Consider the following 20,236-nt stretch of genomic DNA (forward strand, 5'->3'; position numbering starts at 1 on the left):
TGTTGTGTCTCTGCCAGGCTTTGGTATCAGGATGATGCTGGCCTCATCAAATGAGTTAGGGAGGATTCCCTCTTTTTCTATTGATTGGAATAGTTTCAGAAGGAATGGTACCAGCTCCTCCTTGTACCTCTGGTAGAATTCGGCTGTGAATCCATCTGGTCCTGGACTTTTTTTTGGTTGCTAACCTATTAATTATTGCCTCAATTTCAGAGCCTGTTATTGGTCTATGAAGAGATTCAACTTCTTCCTGCTTTCGTCTTGGGAGGGTGTATATTTTGAGGAATTTATCCATTTCTTCTAGATTTTCTAGTTTATATGGGTAGAGGTGTTTATAGTATTCTCTGATGGTAGTTTATATTTCTGTGGGATCGGTGGTGATATCCCCTTTATCATTTTTTATTGCGTCTATTTGATTCTTCTCTGTTTTCTTCTTTATTGGTCTTGCTGGCGGTTTATCAATTTTGTTGATCTTTTCAAAAAACCAGCTCCTGGATTCATTGATTTTTTGAAGGTTTTTTGTGTCTCCATTTCCTTCAGTTCTTCTCTGATCTTAGTTATTTCTTGCTTTCTGCTAGCTTTTGAATGTGTTTGCTCTTGCTTCTCTAGTGCTTTTCATTGTGAAGTTAGGATGTCAATTTTAGATCTTTCCTGCTTTCTCTTGTGGGCATTTAGTGCTATAAATTTCCCTCTACACACTGCTTTGAATGTGTCCCAGAGATTCTGGTATGTTGTGTCTTGGTTCTCGTTGGTTTCAAAGAACATCTTTATTTCTGCCTTCATTTCGGTATGTACCCAGTAGTCATTCAGGAGCAGGTTGTTCAGTTTCCATGTAGTCGTGCGGTTTTCAGTGAGTTTCTTAATCCTGAGTTCTAGTTTGACTGCACTGTGGCCTGAGAGACAATTTGTTATAATTTTTGTTCTTTTACGTTTGCCGAGGAGTGCTCTACTTCTAACTATGTGGTCAATTTTGGAATAAGTGCGATGTGGTGCTGAGAAGAATGCATATTCTGTTGATTTGGGGTGGAGAGTTCTGTAGATGTCTATTAGGTCCACTTGGTGCAGAGCTGAGTTCAATTCCTGGATATCCTTGTTAACCTTCTGTCTCGTGGATCTGTCTAATGCTGACATTGGGGTGTTAAAGTCTCCCATTATTATTGTGTGGGAGTCTAAGTCTCTTTGTAGGTCTCCAAGGACTTGCTTTATGAATCTGGGTGCTCCTGCATTGGGTGTATGTATATTTAGGAGAGTTAGCTCTTCTTGTTGAATTGATCCCTTTACCATTACGTAATGGCCTTCTTTGTCTCTTTTGATCCTTGTTGGTTTAAAGTCTGTTTTATCAGAGGCTAGGATTGCAACCTCTGCCTTTTTTTGTTTTCCATTTGCTTGGTAGATCTTCCTCCATCCCTTTATTTTGAGCCTATGTGTGTCTCTGCACGTGAGATGGGTTTCCTGAATACAGCACACTGATGTGTCTTGACTCTTTATCCAATTTGCCGGTCTGTGTCTTTTAATTGGAGCATTTAGCCCATTTACACTTAAGATTAATATTGTTATGTATGAATTTGATCCTGTCATTATGATGTTAGCTGGTTATTTTGCTCATTAGTTTACGATTTTCTTCTTTAAAAATTCGTATTATGAGTATATTGAATCATTGTTGTCTTCTATATGTCTCATATATCATTTCTCTATAATCCTTTTTATTATGTTCTTTAAATTCATTTTTGTTTGTTTGATTTTCTTATTTGTCTTTACTGTTTCCTACAAAGTATAACTTCCCTTTGTGCTCCTTCCCATTTCATCTTGATTTATGAGATAATTTTTGTATGACTTCTTTACTGACTTCTACAAGCTCACAATTCATATCCTTTTAATATATTGCCTTCTTTTACTTTTCCCTGAGTTCTTTCATTTCTGCCTTAGTATCTTTCTTTGTGTAGGTGATAAGGGGGACATATTTGGTCAGAATATTTGTCAGTTTAACAGCAACATTTTTTTGTGTGTACATTCTCATTTTTGCTGCTTTTCCTTACATGTTTCCTTATTGTATATTTCTACTTGTGCTGTGCCAACTCCTTTTGCTCATTAATTCCTAGCCTAGCAACTTATAGAAAGATGCTGGCAGAAGAAGAGGATGGGCTGTGACTTCCAAGTCTCAAAACCCAAAGGCTCTGCTCCGGTACTACCAGTTTCATTCTAAATGGCTTCTAGCCCCACCTTCTTCTCTAAACCAAATCTAGTCCAGGAGGACTTCTGCAGCCAGCTCTATATACAACCCTTCATTCTCTTTCCTCCATATCCACTCACATTGGTATATGCTTCAGAATGAATCCTTCATCTCAGTGAGTAGATTTTTGCATTTTCTGAGATCTGTCCCCACTCATCCATTTTAGCTATTATCTGTGCTTATTTATTATACTTTCCCCTTGGCAGCTTCTGCCTTCCCCAGACCCTGTAGCACTTGTGTACAAGGGCTAAATGTATATTTTGGGGTGTGTTTCTCACCTTCAGGAAGTCTGGTTTTGCTGGTGCTTTCTGAAGTCTCACTATTGACCTTATTCCATATGGCATCTGCTTTTCTGAGCACATTTTGGGGATTTGCAGATTATATTAGTCCCCTAGTTTTGCTGAAAGTGATTTTTAAGTTTATTATTTCATTCATTTTTTTCTATTGTATGATATCCAAGGCCAAAAATGGGAAGATAGTATCTCTTGGTTTCAACTTTATACTTAAAGTCTACACCCATTTCACAAATGAAAAATCTCTGAAGCACAGAGAGATTAAATAACTTGGTAAAGGTCACACAGCTGATAAATGGTAGCGATGCATTTGAGCCCAATCAATATGGCTTTAAGGTCTCTGACTGCTCCACCACACGACCTCTCAGCCATTATATTCCCCACACCACTCCACATATCCCTTGGCAAATCTCACTAATTAATCATGGCAGTATTACTTTTACCCCACAGAAATCTCAGTGGGGAATACTCTCTAGATAGCCACCAAAATTGGTACCTGAAGTGAAATCATCAAATTGTCATCCTAATTTTAAGCTTTCTTACCTGAGTATGAATACACTTAGCAAATGTGTTTGAGCAAGATCTTAAGAGAAGAGAGATTAAAGAACACTTAAGGGTAGAAGGCACATATGACTGGAGCTGAGGAGAACTGCAGACAAAAAAAATGGGGGTGGGCAAGAGAAGAAGAAGAAAGGCTTTCACTCAGAGGTCAGACTCTTTAACATGTAATTTATACCTGGACTTGGATATCACCAAATTACAATTAGGGGTTGAATTTAGATATTTCGTACCAATGTTTACAAGAAATAACTAAGTTGCCGGAAGTAAATTGCTTGTTTTGTGAGTGGCCCTATATAAAAAATCAATCCAGTTCATGTCACTTGGAAAATCAGTTACCATTTAAAGAATATTAATGATCAACCCAGCACTATATTAGGTGCTTTACATTTTTAAAAAATAAGAATTATAGCAGCATGTATTAAATTTCCATGTACCAAGCACTATTCTAAGAACTTTAATATTTTAAGTCACATAATTTGCATAACAACTGTATGAAGTAGGCACTGTTGTTATCTACATGTGAGAGTTAGGAAAAGTAAGTCATAGAAAAGTTAAATTATTTGCCCAAGCTTACCCAGCTAGGGAGTGCAGAGGCAGAATTTGCATGCAGGTCATCTAAGGCCAACTTCTTAACATGGTGAAATTTAGGAAAGGTTTGTGTTAAGTAACAGCAGAACTGACTGTATCTCCTTCCTTTATTTGCTTCTGAAGTGTAAAATAAATGGTGGTGTCACCAAGACAACGACTTGTTCTTTTTTCTATAAATACCAGGCCTAATGACTTCATCCAAACCATGGCTGCAACAACCACATATGCTGACTCACAAACCTCTCTTCTGGGCTTGCATATCCAATTGTCTATTGAATTTATCCAATAGAAATGAGATGTTTCAAAAGCATTTCCACTTCAATGTATTTTCCCCAAACCTCATTTTTCTTACTTGAGTGCTTCTCTCAGTGAAGAGTCTCACAACCACACAAGCAGGCAGAACAATCTTTTCATAGTGTAAAGTAGATTATGCCAGTCTTCTGACCAAAATCGTCCAATGGCTTTCCATGGTATAAGACACCTATGCCATTTATTCTCTTCTTATCTCTCTGATCACATCTCCTATCATTTTATCTTACCTAATTTTGCTCCAGCCAAACTAGTATTTTCCTTCATTCTTAAACCCACCCAACTAATTTTAAACTCATGGCATTTGTACTTACTGTTCTTTCTTGGGACGCTTTAAACCCGTGTATTGATTTTAATCTGTATCCTTAACTGTGAATATATTGATTTTAATCTGTATCCTTGTATTGATTTTAATCTGTATTCTTAACTGTGAATACAACACTTCAGTGAACTCTCTGAGTATAACGAATTTTGGTAAGTTCTGTGAGTCCTTCTAAAGTATTACTGAGGCTGAGAGTAGTCTTGGGGACCCCTTAACTTGAAGCTAGTGTCAGAAGTAAGGGTGGTCTTTGGGACAGCTCTCTAACTTTATACTACCCTGATATGGTTTGGCTGTGTCCTCACCCAAATCTCATCTTGAATTCCCACATGTTGTGGGAGGGACCTGGTGGGAGGTGATTGAACCAGGTCTTTCCCATGTTTTTCTCGCAATAGTGAATGGGTTTCACTAGATCTGATGGTTTTTTAAGGGGGAGTTTCCCTGCACAGGCTCTCTCTTTGCCTGCTGCCATCGAGGTAAGATGTGACTTGCTCCTCCTGGCCTTCCACCATGATTGTGAGGCCTCCCTAGCTATATGGAACTGTAAGTCCACTAAACCTCTTTCTTTTGTAAATTGCCCAGTCTTGAGTATGTCTTTATCAGCAGCATGAAAACAGATTAAGACATACCCCTTACTTATTTTTCTCTTCACTGATATATCTGCTCACTTCACAGCATTCTCCACTCTCTGTATGTACTCTTCCTTGAATTTCTTGCCATAACAAAGCTTATCTGCTTTTTTTTTTATCTCATCCCGTCAGAGCCCTGCTAAGTATATCCCTTCATGCCAATCTTTACTCATCCTGCAAGGCTCAGTTCAAGTGGTTACCTCCCCTTTAAGTCATCAGCGCAATTTTTGTTTGTTGTTGTTTCGTTAAACACTGATGAGAAATAGATCCTCTCTTAGTATGCTAATAAAATCAGTCTTCTAAGCTTACAAAGCTGACATACTATATAAACACAGACAGCCCAAACTTACTTGCCTTTCATTTGAAACTTGTAGAGTAAGCAGCACTGATGTTGTTATCACAAGTTAGAATAAAAGAAAGATGAGGGAGAAGGAGAAAGGGGGGGGAGAGGGAGGAGAGAGAAGTAGTAGATCGAGAAAGAGGGATGGAGAAAGAGTGAGGGAGAAAGGTGAAATTAAGTCTTAGTAGAGGATAAAACTATGACTCATAACCAAGTCTTTGACTCTAAACTCAGTGACTATATCAATTGACTCTGTGGGGGGAATATAGTATATGCCTAAAGAAATAGATATGGGAGATCCAATGGTTATAACTCATTTTACAAGTACAGAGAACCAAAGAACCATTAAATGTGTCAATATTCAGCGATAGTCTATCACAAATTGGAAGAAGAAGAATTGTACTATTATGTTTACTACCTCAAAATGGACAGATTTTTACATCTCTTAGTAATTGGTAGTTTAAAATACTTAAAAGAAAGTTACCAATTTTTAGATAAAAAGGAGTAATATATCGCTTTATAAAGTATAACAAGTTACAGAGTTAACTCTTAACTATTAAATAACTAAATTAATATAACATAGCACTTAAATTTAATGAATTCTCACTGTTTAAAATTTTCATATGTCTTGATCAGTTACATCCCAAAGCTATATTCTTTCCAGTTTGTAGGAAAGAACAAATATGACTGTTTAAAATAAAATCACCAAATTTGCAAATGAGAATGATTATAGACTTCGACACACTTTTCTTTTTCTTGCCAATTTACTTAAACTGACTAAATTAACTAGATAATTGCCCAATATTCATTTTGTATTATTTTTTATAGTCTCAGCTAAATAGTCAATATCAGAATCAAGACTCAAATACAGCTTCCTAGCTCCAGTTCACTGAATTAAGGAACTAAAGGAAACTGTTTAAAATAAACCATTTTATTTTATTTTTTCAATATTATGAGGATATGGGAAAAGAAAAGGATCTGGAGTATTCCCCTTCTTCTAATCAAAGTTATTGTATCCTTATGTAACAGGCACTGTGCTAAGCACTTTACATGTGTTATTTTATCCACACGACAGCCTTGTGTAGTAAGTATTACTATTTTCTTCACTTTAGCATTGTTAAAAATGAGGCTCAGAGAGTATTTAAGAAACTTGCTCAAGGTCAGTTAGCTAATAAATGGCGGAAACTGGGCTTAACTCTAAGATGCTGGCTCTGGAACACCTGTGCTTAAATACCACTGTCACACTGGGTATGTTAAAGGTGGCAATCGTTTCTTAGAAGTATTCTTACTTTAAATAGCACATCTATTCTGTATAAAGAGATAAATGCTAATTTATTTATAAAATGAGAAATGAAGCTCTAAGCTGTGTATAGAAGTTTTGGCTAAGTGCCCATACAAGTGTTTGTGAAGAAAGGACTTGAAGTTACTGCAGCTACAATGAACTGCTTCTGTTAACAATAAACACATTTCAGATTAATTTCTATGGGAAATTCTTCGAGATGAATATTCTACACAGAGATTTTTACACACGTGGTTTTCACACCTAGGGATCATGAACCTGAGAAAGATGTGCATGTTAAGAATTAGTTACACATTATGCATGGTGCAAGTCATTGTAGAGAAGTGTTGTAGCTATGCCAACATCTCACTGGCAGCCATCCCACCAACACAGACAAAGTAATAACAAAAATACACATATCAGGTAAGAAAAGGTATCTACATCTGTCAAATCCTCAGAAAACTCAGACTTACATAATTAATTTTTCTGGAGATAGAATCATTTATTCATTAGATTACACCTAAAACTTGGACATAAAAAATATACAATTTACATCTATTAATAAGGTACTTAAAATGTTTTTTCTTAGCTGTGTTAAAATTTAAGGGAATTTACTGAAACCGTGACAAATCACATAGATGCTTATTTCTTCTCATTCTTAAAATCTTACTCAAATGAGAATAAGGAAATGTGGTTTAGAACTACAGGGAAAAAGTTAATGAGTAGAAGAGACAACAGCAGACAAAATATATCAACAAATTTTTGGAAAATGAAAAGCACACGAAGAAATTACCAGAGCTGAAAAAACTGAACCTAAGGGCTTCAGAGGCAAATGCTAATGACAGGCAGGCTGATTCATATTGCAAAATCCTGAAAAGGCTCAAGAATTGAAGGCACCAAATCAATGAATTCAGCATTGAGGCTTCAAATTGGGGGTTGAGGATATGTGAGGGTGGAGGATTGAAAGTTTGTATAAGAAGTTTCCAGACTAAAGGAGACCAAAGGTTAATGACATAGAAGCATTGAATCAATCGTAGAGGAAAATGGAAGGGAAGCTCTGTATTGAGAAGGGATTTGGCTAAAATTGACATACAAAATTGTGAGACAATCCTCCCCCCATCAACCCAAGAACCTCTTTATATCACTGAACTCTAATAACAGTGGCAACCAGGATTATATTCTACAAGTAAGGTATTGGAGGATCCTTCTCTACATGCCTTAGACATGTGTAGCCTAACAAAATAGTCAGACAGGTTTCTACTTAATCATCCTCTATGTGAAACATCTCAGTTAACTAGCCTACCCATGCAAACAGTTGTTAAGCATATTTTTAGTGTCTTACTTTTTTTTTTTTTTTTGAGACAGAGTCTCACTCTGTCAGCCAGGCTGGAGTGCACTGGCACGATCTCAGCGCCCTGCAACCTCTGTCTCCTGGGCTCGAGTAGTTCTTCTGCCTTAGCCTCCCAAGTAGGTGGGATTACAGGCATATGCCACCACATCCGGCTAATGTTTTTGTATTTTCCAGTAGAGATGGGGTTTCACCATTTTGGCCAGGCTCGAACTCCTGACCTCAGATAATGTACCCGCCTCAGTCTCCCAAAGTGCTGGGATTACAAGCATGAGCCTCGCATCTGGCCAGTGTCTTACTTTTAAATGATAACAGAAATGTTGCATACTTATAAACAACTTCTCCAACATAAAAGACAGACCAATACAAAAATTTAGAACAAAGACAATGCAGAGAGCAGAAGAAAAGTTGAAAAAATCGTCATTCTTATCCTTACAGAGATAAAAGTAGACATTGCATCAAAGAAACGAGAACAGGATGAAAAAAAAAAAGACTAGTCTCAGTGAAAAAACCCTTAAAAATTTAAACACAGAGGCCAGGCGCTGTGGCTCACGCCTGTAATCCCAGCACTTTGGGAGGCCGAGGCGGGAGGATCACGAGATCAGGAGATCGAGACCATCCTGGCTAACACGGTGAAACCCTGTCTCTACTAAAAATACAAAAAATTAGCTGGGCGTGGTGGTGGGTGCCTGTAGTCCCAGCTACTCGGGAGGCTGAGGCAGGAGAATGGCGTGAACCTGGGAGGCAGAGCTTGCAGTGAGCCGAGATTGCGCCACTGCACTCCAGCCTGGACGACAGAGTGAGACACTGCCTCAAAAAAAAAAACAAAAAACAAAAAACAAAAAAAACAATTTAAACACAGAAGAAATAAGAAATTAAACAAAATGTTTGGAATAGTAAGTGATGAAAAATCTCACATAAAGTAGTACATAAAACAAAGACGGAAAATAGGATCTAAAAATAAGAAAATAAAGAGCCCAATACTGAAGATTTAATATTTAAAAGATATTGAAGAAAGAGGAAATAAATATATCAGGAAGAAAAACATAACGCAGGAAAATTCCCAGAAAATTAAGGATGCTTCCACACTGAAAAGGCCTACTAAGTGCCTAGCACAATGAATTGTAAAAAGACCTGTACCAAGACAGATTATTGTAACCTTCCAAAACATCAAAGATAAATAGATGATCTTAAGGGATTAAAAGGGAAATTAAAAGGTCACATATAAAGGATCAAGAATTAATATAACATCAGATTTAAAAAGTCTGCAAGCCAGATAAAAAAAGGCAAAAGATGAAAATATTTCAAATTCTGAGGGAATAATATTTACAGCCTAAAATTTTATACTCACCTGAACTACCTGTAAGACTGAGAATAAACACATTCTCAGAAATGGAATGTTGTAAAAAATGCACCACCCAAGTGCATATTCTCAGGATGCAACTAGAGGATGTGCTGCACCCAAATAAATAAGGAAATAGACTATGAAAAATGACATAAGACTTCCAAGAAACTCCATCTAACACAGATATCAGCTCTACTGGAAGCTTAGAGAACTACTGGTCCATAGCAGAGCAGAATTTTAGCATGCAGAAGGAATATCTCCAAGAAAAGAATCAAATTTCTGGAGTACTTGGTGCGTTTGGGGGAAAATATATTTCAAAATATCTGAGATTTAGTGATAGTGACATAGAACATAAAGCAAACAGAAAAGGAGGCAATCTTGTTAATTCACAAGAAAAAAATATAAACGTACATGGCTCAGTGATAAAAAAATATACACATGGTCATAATAAGCTGAATTGTGAATATTAAATTAACCAAAAATTGGATAAAACTATATTGAGAGAATAGAAGTAGGGAAAGGAGACACAGAGAATAGTAATGTTAAGTCCTCATCATTAATAATAGGAAGTCAATATAATATTTAAACATATTATAGTATTAAATATAGATGTTAAAACCAAAAGAAGGTGCTAAAAGAGTTTGGGCAGACAATAGTAGGAGTGGGTAAGGGGAAGGGACACTGCTTTTTGCTATATGTTTTGTCATACAATTTGGCCTTTAAACTTTGTACAGTACTTGTAATTCTTTGATATACTTTTTTAAGTTTTGAAAAATCTCATAAGCATACAAATATTTATTTCTGATAAGTCTAACTTAGGATAATCTCTCACTCAAACATATTCAGCAGTATTAATATAAATAATATCTGTGATCATATAAAAACACAATTTATCTGATAATGGTTTTCCAGTCTCCTGATTAGATGTTACAAATTGCATCGTGCCAATTTAATCAGAAAATTTCTTTTAGGAAAAAAGTGTTTCTAAGTTTCTGATAATATGCTATTTCCATTTCTTTTTTTGTGCTCAAAAATATTCAATTTTCTAAAGTCTGAGAGGTTTTCTAAAGGACTTTTCTTTTTGTTAAGAACTGGCAATAAAATTTTAGGTGTATAAAATTGAAAATTATGATGCTTGCCCTGAAATAAAATAACATATTTTACATTCCATAAATGAGATCTTAAGGGTGAGAGAAATATGTTGTTTCTTTCATTTATTCCTTTTGTTGGTTCTAGATTTTTAAAAAATAAGTTCATAAATATTTAATTTTCCCTATATCTTTCTTTGCATGGGTTTCTAATATTTTGATAATAATATCTTTGGTAAATTATTAAACTCATAATGCCAGTGGCTGGCAACTGTGAAGCTAGAGGACGTCTAAGGGAAAGAGTTTTGTCTTCAGAGACGGACAGACCTAGATTCAAATCTAAGCTGTAGGTGAGCCACTTCTTTGAGTCTCAGTTTCTTCATCTATAATACCTACTCTGCAGGTTCATTATGATGATTAGAATAATATATGTAAAGTACCAGCAAAAGAGATGATACAAAATATACATTTAATTAATAATTGTATTCTTCTCTTCCTTATCTTCTCTGTGGCTCTAGGAGCCTCAATTTTAAGGAATTTGTAGACTTTGCAGTCAAAATATGAGCTCAAATCTTGGTTCTTCCATTCATTAAGCTTTTACTTGGAGGTGGTTACCTATTCTCCTTAATCTCAGTTTCAGCAATTCTATCATGGCCATAATTACAAAACCCTGTGATGAGGCAGCAGTGAAGTAAATGTACATTCTAATAGCACAGTGACTAGTAGCTCATAGTAAGTTCTCAGAAACAGTAACCGTGATAATAACAATAAATTAAGAGAGAGAGTTTTTCTCCTCTTCATGGCTACTTCAAGCTAAATGAAGTAACATAAATGCCTTGGTTAAGAATAGTTTTTCATGAAGTTACATGTGACATGTGGCTTAATCATTTCCCATAAAAGAGATTTAGAAAATGTCTTCTAAGAAATATTTTAATTCATCTATGTGATATTTGAAAGAATATTTATCTGTATCTACTTGTCAATTTGGTCAACCAGAGTACCACTCTTCCTTTTTGCCCTCTCTCTACCTTGCACATATTTCATTCATAATTTGTTTACTTGTCTTTTTCTTACTGTTATTTGATCAATTGATCAAACTGACAAGGGGTTCATCAAACTGACCACTCAACTGAAAACTTGGTTCTGTAAGAATTAATGCTTTGGCAGCTCTGTGCAGAAGAGCCCTTTGCTACCTTTAAGGCAGAGGAGAAAAACAAACAAACAAATCTGAGGCCTTGGTAATATTATCTGTAGGTCCAGCACAGTTCTAGGATTTGTCTCTTTGACTTTGGTATGTTTTTTACCTTTGATAAAGGCATTTTTTTCACTTTGATGCTACAGACATTATCTTATTTACATTTCCAATCATTGGCAATAGGATATTACACAGGAAATAGAAGATGCATCAATCATGTTTAAATGAATGAATTAGGATATACATAGACTCCTGAAACTCTATCATCATACTACCAGAGTAATTAACTAGTAGGCACAAACAAAACAGGTTTAGGTTTATTTTCTAAACCTCTCCATTTGAATTACATAGAATCCTAAGCCCACTAGTATGCAAATTCCATTTTGTTTCTTAATGATGCAAATCTGGACGGAACATTTTTTATATGCTTTTGTTGTATCAAGAAGTGCAAAGGTAATTCAGTCACAGTTTGCCACCCCCAAGAACTCCCACTTAAAATGAAGTCACAAGCAAAGCCTTTTTATTGTACAAAACTTCTTTTTTATAGAGTTTGCTTAAAAATGTAAGCAATTTCACAGACGGAAGATATGAGTAATTTCTTAAAGGTCGTATTTCCCCTCAAAATTGGTTTCTTTAATCTTACATTCTCATGGTACTGGGTGGAATTTTTGTTATTGTTTAATGTTGAATTTACAGTTATAATGAGTTGAAAGTTATGTACTTTTGCTGTCTGGAAGTAGAATTTTTAAGTAAGCAAATAAATTAAAAGGTAATTTTCTTACCTTGTTCTTGTGCATGAACAACCACCCCAGCCACACATAGTACAATAAAATGAAGAAGTGATTTCCTAGGAAAAGAAAAAAGCATTTGGGAAAAACTTACTAGTTGGACATTTACAACCATATAGAATCCAAAACAGTCTATGCAAGATTAAGAATTAAGCAATTATTTTAAATAGCATGATATTTTAATATTCATAGTGGTTAAGACCAAAGGCTCTGAAGTGAAATTCCAGTTTTGCCACTTACTATGTGACTTGGGCACATTTTTAATCATTCTATGCCTTAGCTGCTTTATCTGTTAAACCTATCTCATAAGATTTTCTGAAGATTAACTTAAAAACTTCATGTAAAGCACAGAAAACAGTACCTGGCACATAGGAAACATTCAATAAATATGAACTAGTATAGGTGGTATTATTATCATATATTATGTTAAATTACCATATATGCAATTTCATACAAAGTAATAGAAATTTCCACAAAAATAACGCAAATTACAGTTGCTTAACTATAGTGATTATAAGTTAATGGAACCAGCTATTTATTTGTTTAATGGTTATATGTGAAAGCCATTTGAATATCATACTTAAATCACTCGTACTAGATTCATGATTTTTTGGTTTTGAAAATAGCAATGGCCTGTAGATGTCAACATTGAGCATTTTGATTAGTAGTAGCTATGAGCACAATACCCAATCACTACAAATTAAAATGTCCATTAGTATTGATAAGCTATCTAAGCAAAAATGTTTTGTGACATTGCTAGTATAACCAAACTTTTAATAAATTTTGTTGAACATTCTTCATAATTGGCTGTATCTACCTCCAAAATGAAAATTACAGAAATAATTTTGAAGAGAGATGATAAGCATGCTGAAAACAATACTTCATTACCTAATTTTGCTAATATAGACCCTGATTCTGTTTTTGATTCTAACCCAGGGACTGTTCAAATGATGTATTTGTAAAATGCAGTTCCGCAAGGAGTGATTATGGAGCTGTCTATAAACCATTAATTCCCTTTTATTAAATTCCTGATGTACTAGTAGTAATTGGTACATTTTCTATTTATTACTAATAAGATGTTTTTTACCTTTACCAACTAGTATAAGGAGCATCTTAATGTAAGAAAGATGATCTTTTTACAAAGCTTAAGCCAGCAAATATATAATTCGACTATTTATAATGGAACACAAATTTCATTTGTATTAAAATGGTATTTATCCTTTGTTAGTAATTTTAAAATTGAACATTCTATGGCCGTACTCAGTCCAGAGCACAGCTCTTATAAGACAAGGTTTCGATAGAATACTTAACAACTGTCACTAACTCTACAAACAGATCAACTGAATCATTGCAGAGATTTCAGCTGATATGGATAAATAACTAAACCATATATTCTAATGAGGCCTATGAAACATTCTTATATATGGCATTATTCATGTAGATGGATGGTTCCCAAATGTTAGACTCACCTGAGGAACTTGTAAAAAATGCAGATTTTGGGCCCTGACACAGAGATTATGATTCAAAAATTTGCGATGGATATGCAGGATGCATACATTTTAACTAGGTGATTCTAGTGCAGATTGTACGTGTGCCAAACTCTGAGAAAAAACTATTTAGAACATTCACTGTGTTTATATTTACAATGTTATTAAAATACATCTAAATTGATTTTACTTTTGCTTAAATCACATATATCTAATTTTATAACATGACATGACCCTAAAATATTATTTGGCCCTTTTAAAATCCTTTCCTACTGCACTAGGTCAGTGGTTTTCAAACTTTAGTGTGATCAGAATCGCATGAAGCACTTGTGAGCAATCACTGGGCCTCACCCCCAGAATTTCTAACTAAGTATGTCTGGGGTGGGGCTCAAGAATATGCATTTATAACAAGTTCCTGGGTGTACTGACGCTACTGATCTGGGACTACATTCTGAGGACCACTACTCTAAAATAAATGACCCTCAAGAGATGATATAAAGTCCTCCTGTTTGGATCTTTTTACCCCTTGGCTGCACACTGGAATTACCTGGGGAGTTTTGTTTTGTTTTTGTTTTTGTTTTTGCTTTCTTGAGATGGAGTTCGCTCTTTGTTACCCAGTCTGGAGTGCAGTGGAGCGATCTCAGCTCACTGCAACCTCTGCTTGCCAGGTTCAAGCAATTCTCCTGTCTCAGCCTCCTGAATAGCTGGAATTACAGGCGCCTGCCACCACACCCGGCTAATTTTTTTTTTATTATACTTTAAGTTTTAGGGTACAAGTGCACAATGTGCAGGTTAGTTACATATGTATACATGTGCCATGCTGGTGCGCTGCACCCACTAACTCGTCATCTAGCATGAGGTATATCTCCCAATGCTATCCCTCCCCCTTCCCCCCACCCCACAACACTCCCCAGAGTGTGATGTTCCCCTTCCTGTGCCCATGTGTTTTCATTGTTCAATTCCCACCTATGAGTGAGAATATGCAGTGTTTGGTTTTTTGTTCTTGTGGTAGTTTACTGAGAATGATGATTTCCAATTTCATCCATGTCCCTACAAAGGACATGAACTCATCATTTCTCATGGCTGCATAGTATTCCATGGTGTATATGTGCCACATTTTCTTAATCCAGTCTATCATTGTTGGACATTTGGGTTGGTTCCAAGTCTTTGCTATTGTGAATAACGCCGCAATAAACATACGTGTGCATGTGTCTTTATAGCAGCATGATTTATAGTCCTTTGGATATATACCCAGTAATGGGATGGCTGGGTCAAATGGTATTTCTAGTTCTAGATCCCTGAGGAATCGCCACACTGACTTCCACAATGGTTGAACTAGTTTACAGTCCCACCAACAGTGTAAAAGTGTTCCTATTTCTCCACATCCTCTCCAGCACCTGTTGTTTCCTGACTTTTTAATGATTGCCATTCTAACTGCACACCCGGCTAATTTTTGTATTTTTAGTAGAGACAGAGTTTCACCATGTTGGCCAGGCTGGTCTCGAACTCCTGACCTCAGGTGATCTGCCTGCTTCAGCCTCCCAAAGTGCTGGGATTACAGGCATGAGCCACCATGCCTGGCCCACCTGGGGAGTTTTAAAAACTAATAATTGGATCTTTCTCTCCTTGCCCCACAGAGATTCTGATTTTAATGTGTCCATAACACAGGCATTTTAAAACATTTTCCACTGATTCTAATGTGCAAACAAGGTTGAGGACCATCACGCAAGATTAAAATGATGTGTGGGCTCTCCAGGATGTATCCTAATATGATTTAGAGCTTGAGTAAGGAGGCTATTTACCTTTCAAATTTATGTTTCAACATATAACTGGCAGGATACATATCAGCGAGACTAGAAAACTGCTTACTTAGGATTACAGTCAATGAAGGATAGTGCATCTCAATTATGCTGTCTTAAGTATAAAGTTGAATGTGAATGGAAGCATGTCTCACCTGCCCAAGGTAATCAGCCTCACTCAGATGCATAGAAACAACCCAACAGGCACTTTTCCCTTAAAAATAACTAATGACAAGTACAACAGCCAGCACTACTCATTTAGCAATTCAACAAACTCATAAACTTCCCCAATGACCTCAGTGGAGAAAAATGGAAATAAACATGTTAACAAGTCCATTCCTGGTGTGAGGCAGGAAAACCTGAGCACATCAAGCATCATTCTTTAGACAGGTGATCCTAGGGGATTATGACAAACCAGTTGAGCCATACCTTGCATAAATGTACCTGTGTATGAAAGCTGATGACTAATGGACTGGTAGAGATCAATGACTGAAATAGATTCTCTTTCTCTTTGTCTAGTTACAACCAAAACAAATAGCGAACTGAAAAAGAACAGGTAAAGTTTCTTACAATGCATTCAAGACCCTTATTATTTAGCTTCAATTTCCTTTTTTAGCAGTATGGATCCCACTACCCCTGATATCTCCAAAGTTCCAGCCATACAAAGTTATTCTCCATCCACTGGAAAGACCTTGTATATGTCTGAAATGCCCTACCAGTCTCCACTTACCATTCTTAAGTACACCCAAAGCCTAATTAAATCAATACTTGCTCCATGAAGTTTCCCATCATCTCTAAAGGGGAATGAATCTTTCCCCCACCTCTGTACTTTTGATACATTAATTGTGACTTTGTTATACTCCTATAAGTCCTACCTTTTATGAAAGTAAATATCTGAGCAAGCAGCAGGTCTTCATTTTTACCTCTAGTGTACCCATGTGTTACATGAAATTGACAGTAAATACTTTTTAAAAGGAAATGATCAAAAGTATTATCTCCCAATGACTGAGGAATTCACTTTTTCCTTATGGACTTGATTCTTTTAACACTTGGAAAAAATAAAATAAAATACAGGCAATTTTAGTTAGATGTCCAAAGAAAGAGAAGGGAAATAGAATTTTTTAAATCTGCTATGGTAGCATATATGGTAGCCTTCTTCTTTTTTTTCTTAATTTTCATTTTAGCTTTCTTGTCTCTGAAGTGGGTACAACAGAGAAAGGATGAAGTTTCATTGACATAGTCAGTTTGATAAAGAGCCAAACCATTATTGTATATGGGTATTTAATGAATCCAAGATTCTTGGGAAATGTCTGATGGACTAGGTTTGTTTGTTTCTTTGGATTTTCCTCCTTATGATGTTACATTTATTATACATTTCCTCAACAAATAAAACTTATCAAGTTTCCACATTAGCAGTAGATGGTAGAGTCCTCTATGGAAGCAGCTGTTCTTTGTCCTTCTGGGTCTTAGCTGACTCATCTATCATGTGATGACATAATACAAATTTTATGTTTTTGTGTTTTACATTCCAAATGTAAAATCCTATAATTTGTGTGTGTGATGGGATCACATTAGTATACTGGCATTAAAAGACAAAAAGCAAATTACTTAGCAAAATGTTATATATATAGGTGTGTGTGTGTGTGTATACACATACATATATATAAAGGGTTTGTATATATGTGTGTGTGTGTGTGTATACACATACATATATATAAAGCGTTTGTTATTTAACCACAAAACTGTAACGGTCTTCCTATAGTTTTGGTCCAATACTATTTAAGTAACCTAAAATAGTCTACTAAGTTGTTAATTCATTCATATATTTAGTTTACTCCCACAAACAGTCTAGTTGGTATATTAAACATGAACAATTTTTGAATATTCAAAACATGTTTGTTTTCATTCACTGGTTTGTATATGTGGACCATGTGTCACTAATACAAAGTTATAGAGTTATAGTTACTCAGACATTTAACAAAATCAGACCATATCCAAAATAAATCAACAATATGGTAACAAACACTTCATAAAGGCTCAAAAAATATAACCCAAGATATTGATAGCTAACAAAATAAGAAACACTCTGCATGAGTCTGGCTGCTAGTCACATTTTCACTTTGACACCAGCAACAGTCCAAACATAACCAGACATGTGAGGGTAAAGGCCTAAAGAGGATAAGACAGAAAATAGATATCCAAAGACCATACTCAGAACATGTAAATGACTAATACCCATTCCAGGCATCGTTCCTAGATGATTCTTAGAGCTATTCAACTTCCTCTTTATTCAAAAGATCCAAGTTGCTTTAGGGGAATCCGAGGGATCTTTTGCTTAGGGTACCCCTGAGACTCTAAGGTATTATAACTTATGTCTTCAGGCTACTGATGCTCACTTCTACATAGATTCAATTTATAATAGTGGGAAGGACTTGTGAAATCTTGTGAATAGACAACTTTTTATGAGTTGGTGGCCTTCTTTTAAACCAATTGAAAATGGTGAACAAATCTGAAAGACACACACACGTGATATACATCAATAATTTCAACAATTTCCACCACGCTACGTTTACATGCCAAAAACTTCTCTAAGTCATGACAGCTTTACAGATTTTGCTCTTTACTAGCTACTAAGATCGAGAAATAGTAAAATTTCTGTTCTTTCCTCTCAAAATAACTGAAAAAAGAGTTTTCATCACAGCAGTGGACATAAAGTTGGATGATTCAGGGAGCAAAGTAGTACTGTCACTAACTTACTTGCAATTAATTTTTCAGACTATTAATTCAACTCAGGTGGTAGTTATATAGCTAAACCAGCATGAAGCATACTACAGGTTGAGCACCCCCAATCTAAAAATCCAAAGTCCTAAATGCTCCAAAATCTGAAAGGTTTTGAGGGCTGAAATGATGCCATACTGGAATCATTTTACACCTGACTTTATGGGTCACAGTCAAAACTTCATTTCATGCACAAAATTACTAAAAATATTATATAAAATTAACTTCAGTCTATGTGTATAAGGTATATATGATACATAAGTGAATTTCATGTTTTGACTTGGGTCCCATCCCCAAGATATCTCATTATATATATGCAAATATTCCAAAATCCAAAAAAATTCAAAATCCCAAACACTTCTGGTCTCAGGCATTTTAGATGAGCAGTACTCAACCTGTAGAGCTTTTGGTTAAATTCTAAGCATTCAAGCAATTCATGCAGTGCAAGGGAGATAAATGCTTAAGAACTTCATTTAATCAAAGTGTCTAGAGTCCAGTCAGTAGGAGGGAAGAAAAATACATCTAAACTAGTCTGTCCTAGTAATACCACAGAGAATGTTAAACTATTGCCTAGCTTAGTAAAGTTCCTGGCACATACTAGTGTTAGATAAAGATTTTCAAGTGAACTAATGAATCAGATAATCTTCAGTCAATGAAAGTATCAGGTGGTCTTGAGTTTCAACAAATACATAACTTATCTAGCATCTTCTACCTATACACTCATCCCAAAATCAAGAAAAGTCAAGTCTCCCCAACCTCTGCTTGTTAAACATGGTTTAAAGGCCTTTCCAAATCTGGTCTCTGTTTATCTCTCCAGCTCCAGCTCCAGTCACTGCTTCCCTAGAATGTGTACTCCAACCAACTTCATTTCTTTCAGGCCCTCAAATGCACTGTGCTGTCTCACTTCTGAGCTTTTTATTGTTCCTTCTGTCTGGTAAATTTCATGTTCTTTTCAGTAAGGTCTCAGTCTAGATTTCATTTCCTTTGGTTACCTTTTCCTTCCAGTATTATCCTTTCCTCCCCTACCCACCCACCCAAGACTGCTAGGTGCCCCTCATGTATATATCCTCCTCTCATTTCGTTATACTTGGTTGTTTCATTTGCTATTTCCTTTATTAGACTGGAGAGCAGCAACTGTGGATCTGTCATACTCAATCATTGTATCTCTGCTGCCTAGAACCACACTGGGCCCATAGTTGGAGCTCAGTAAACATGTGTTGAATAAATACGTTAATGAATGATGAATAAATGAATGACAGAATAATGTTAGCCTTTTATGAGAATGAAAATAAAATTGTCTTTACTTCTCATTAGAGTTACAAATTCTAAAATAAGTCATAGTTGGAAGGCATGGCAAGGAAACTAGCACAGCTATTCTAATTCCCATAATAACATTTACTTTTATTCTGCCGTTCACAAATTACCAAGTAGAATGTCTAAATGACACTCAAAAGTACTTTCCATAAATTAGATTTACTCTCCCTGAGACATCAGCTTATTTTAAAAATTTATTTGAACACAAATATAACTAAGCAACTTTAAAAAATAGAATTTCGTGCCATCTAGGAAATAGATCTTTATATTCCAAAATTCCTTTTTGGTTATAAAAGTCTTTAATTACCATAATAGCCTGCCTCAGAGACCTTCTGATAATATGTCAAATTAAGGTATCTAAAGCTGACTTTGAGATTTCATTAATTTTATTAATTCTACAAATTCACGTTAGGCAACCCATATAAAAGACCCCACAAAAGAAAGTGTCGTAAAGATCCACTTTTAAACTGGAACTGTTTTTGGGTGACTAATAAGAACTGTGATTTTAAAAAGCGCTCCCTCTCTTACAAAACATCACCACAAAAGGAA

General features: G+C 35.6%; 1 protein-coding gene across 20 annotated transcripts in view, besides 2 other annotated features; it reads right to left on the reverse strand.

The window, feature by feature from the left end:
• Window positions 1-20,236, reverse strand: part of COL24A1 (collagen type XXIV alpha 1 chain) — a 427,752-nt gene that overhangs the window by 404,583 nt on the left and 2,933 nt on the right. For all 20 annotated transcript variants that reach the window (NR_146340.2, NR_146341.2, NR_146342.2 and 17 more), the window contains one exon: window positions 12,304-12,368. Coding sequence is in view for 13 of the 20 variants with exons in the window: in XM_047417004.1 (XP_047272960.1) it covers window positions 12,304-12,368 (65 nt within the window). In the remaining 7 variants the exon portion in view is untranslated. The remainder of the gene's footprint in view (window positions 1-12,303; window positions 12,369-20,236) is intronic.
• Window positions 19,083-19,252: an enhancer, noted in NCBI's record as "experimental_9432 CRE fragment used in MPRA reporter constructs". NCBI's record gives its function as "activates a minimal promoter by MPRAs in K562 erythroleukemia cells, with activity observed for the non-introgressed 1:86618666 or rs78660480 variant allele {active_cell/tissue: K562}" and the evidence as "EXISTENCE:reporter gene assay evidence [ECO:0000049][PMID:34662402]".
• Window position 19,168: a transcriptional cis regulatory region, noted in NCBI's record as "Neanderthal adaptively introgressed variant 1:86618666 (GRCh37/hg19 assembly coordinates) or rs78660480 in the experimental_9432 CRE". NCBI's record gives its function as "modulates activity of the experimental_9432 enhancer by MPRAs in K562 erythroleukemia cells {active_cell/tissue: K562}" and the evidence as "EXISTENCE:reporter gene assay evidence [ECO:0000049][PMID:34662402]".

This window comes from Homo sapiens, chromosome 1 (genome assembly GCF_000001405.40).
Source record: "Homo sapiens chromosome 1, GRCh38.p14 Primary Assembly".
In the NCBI taxonomy this organism is placed as follows: domain Eukaryota; kingdom Metazoa; phylum Chordata; class Mammalia; order Primates; family Hominidae; genus Homo; species Homo sapiens.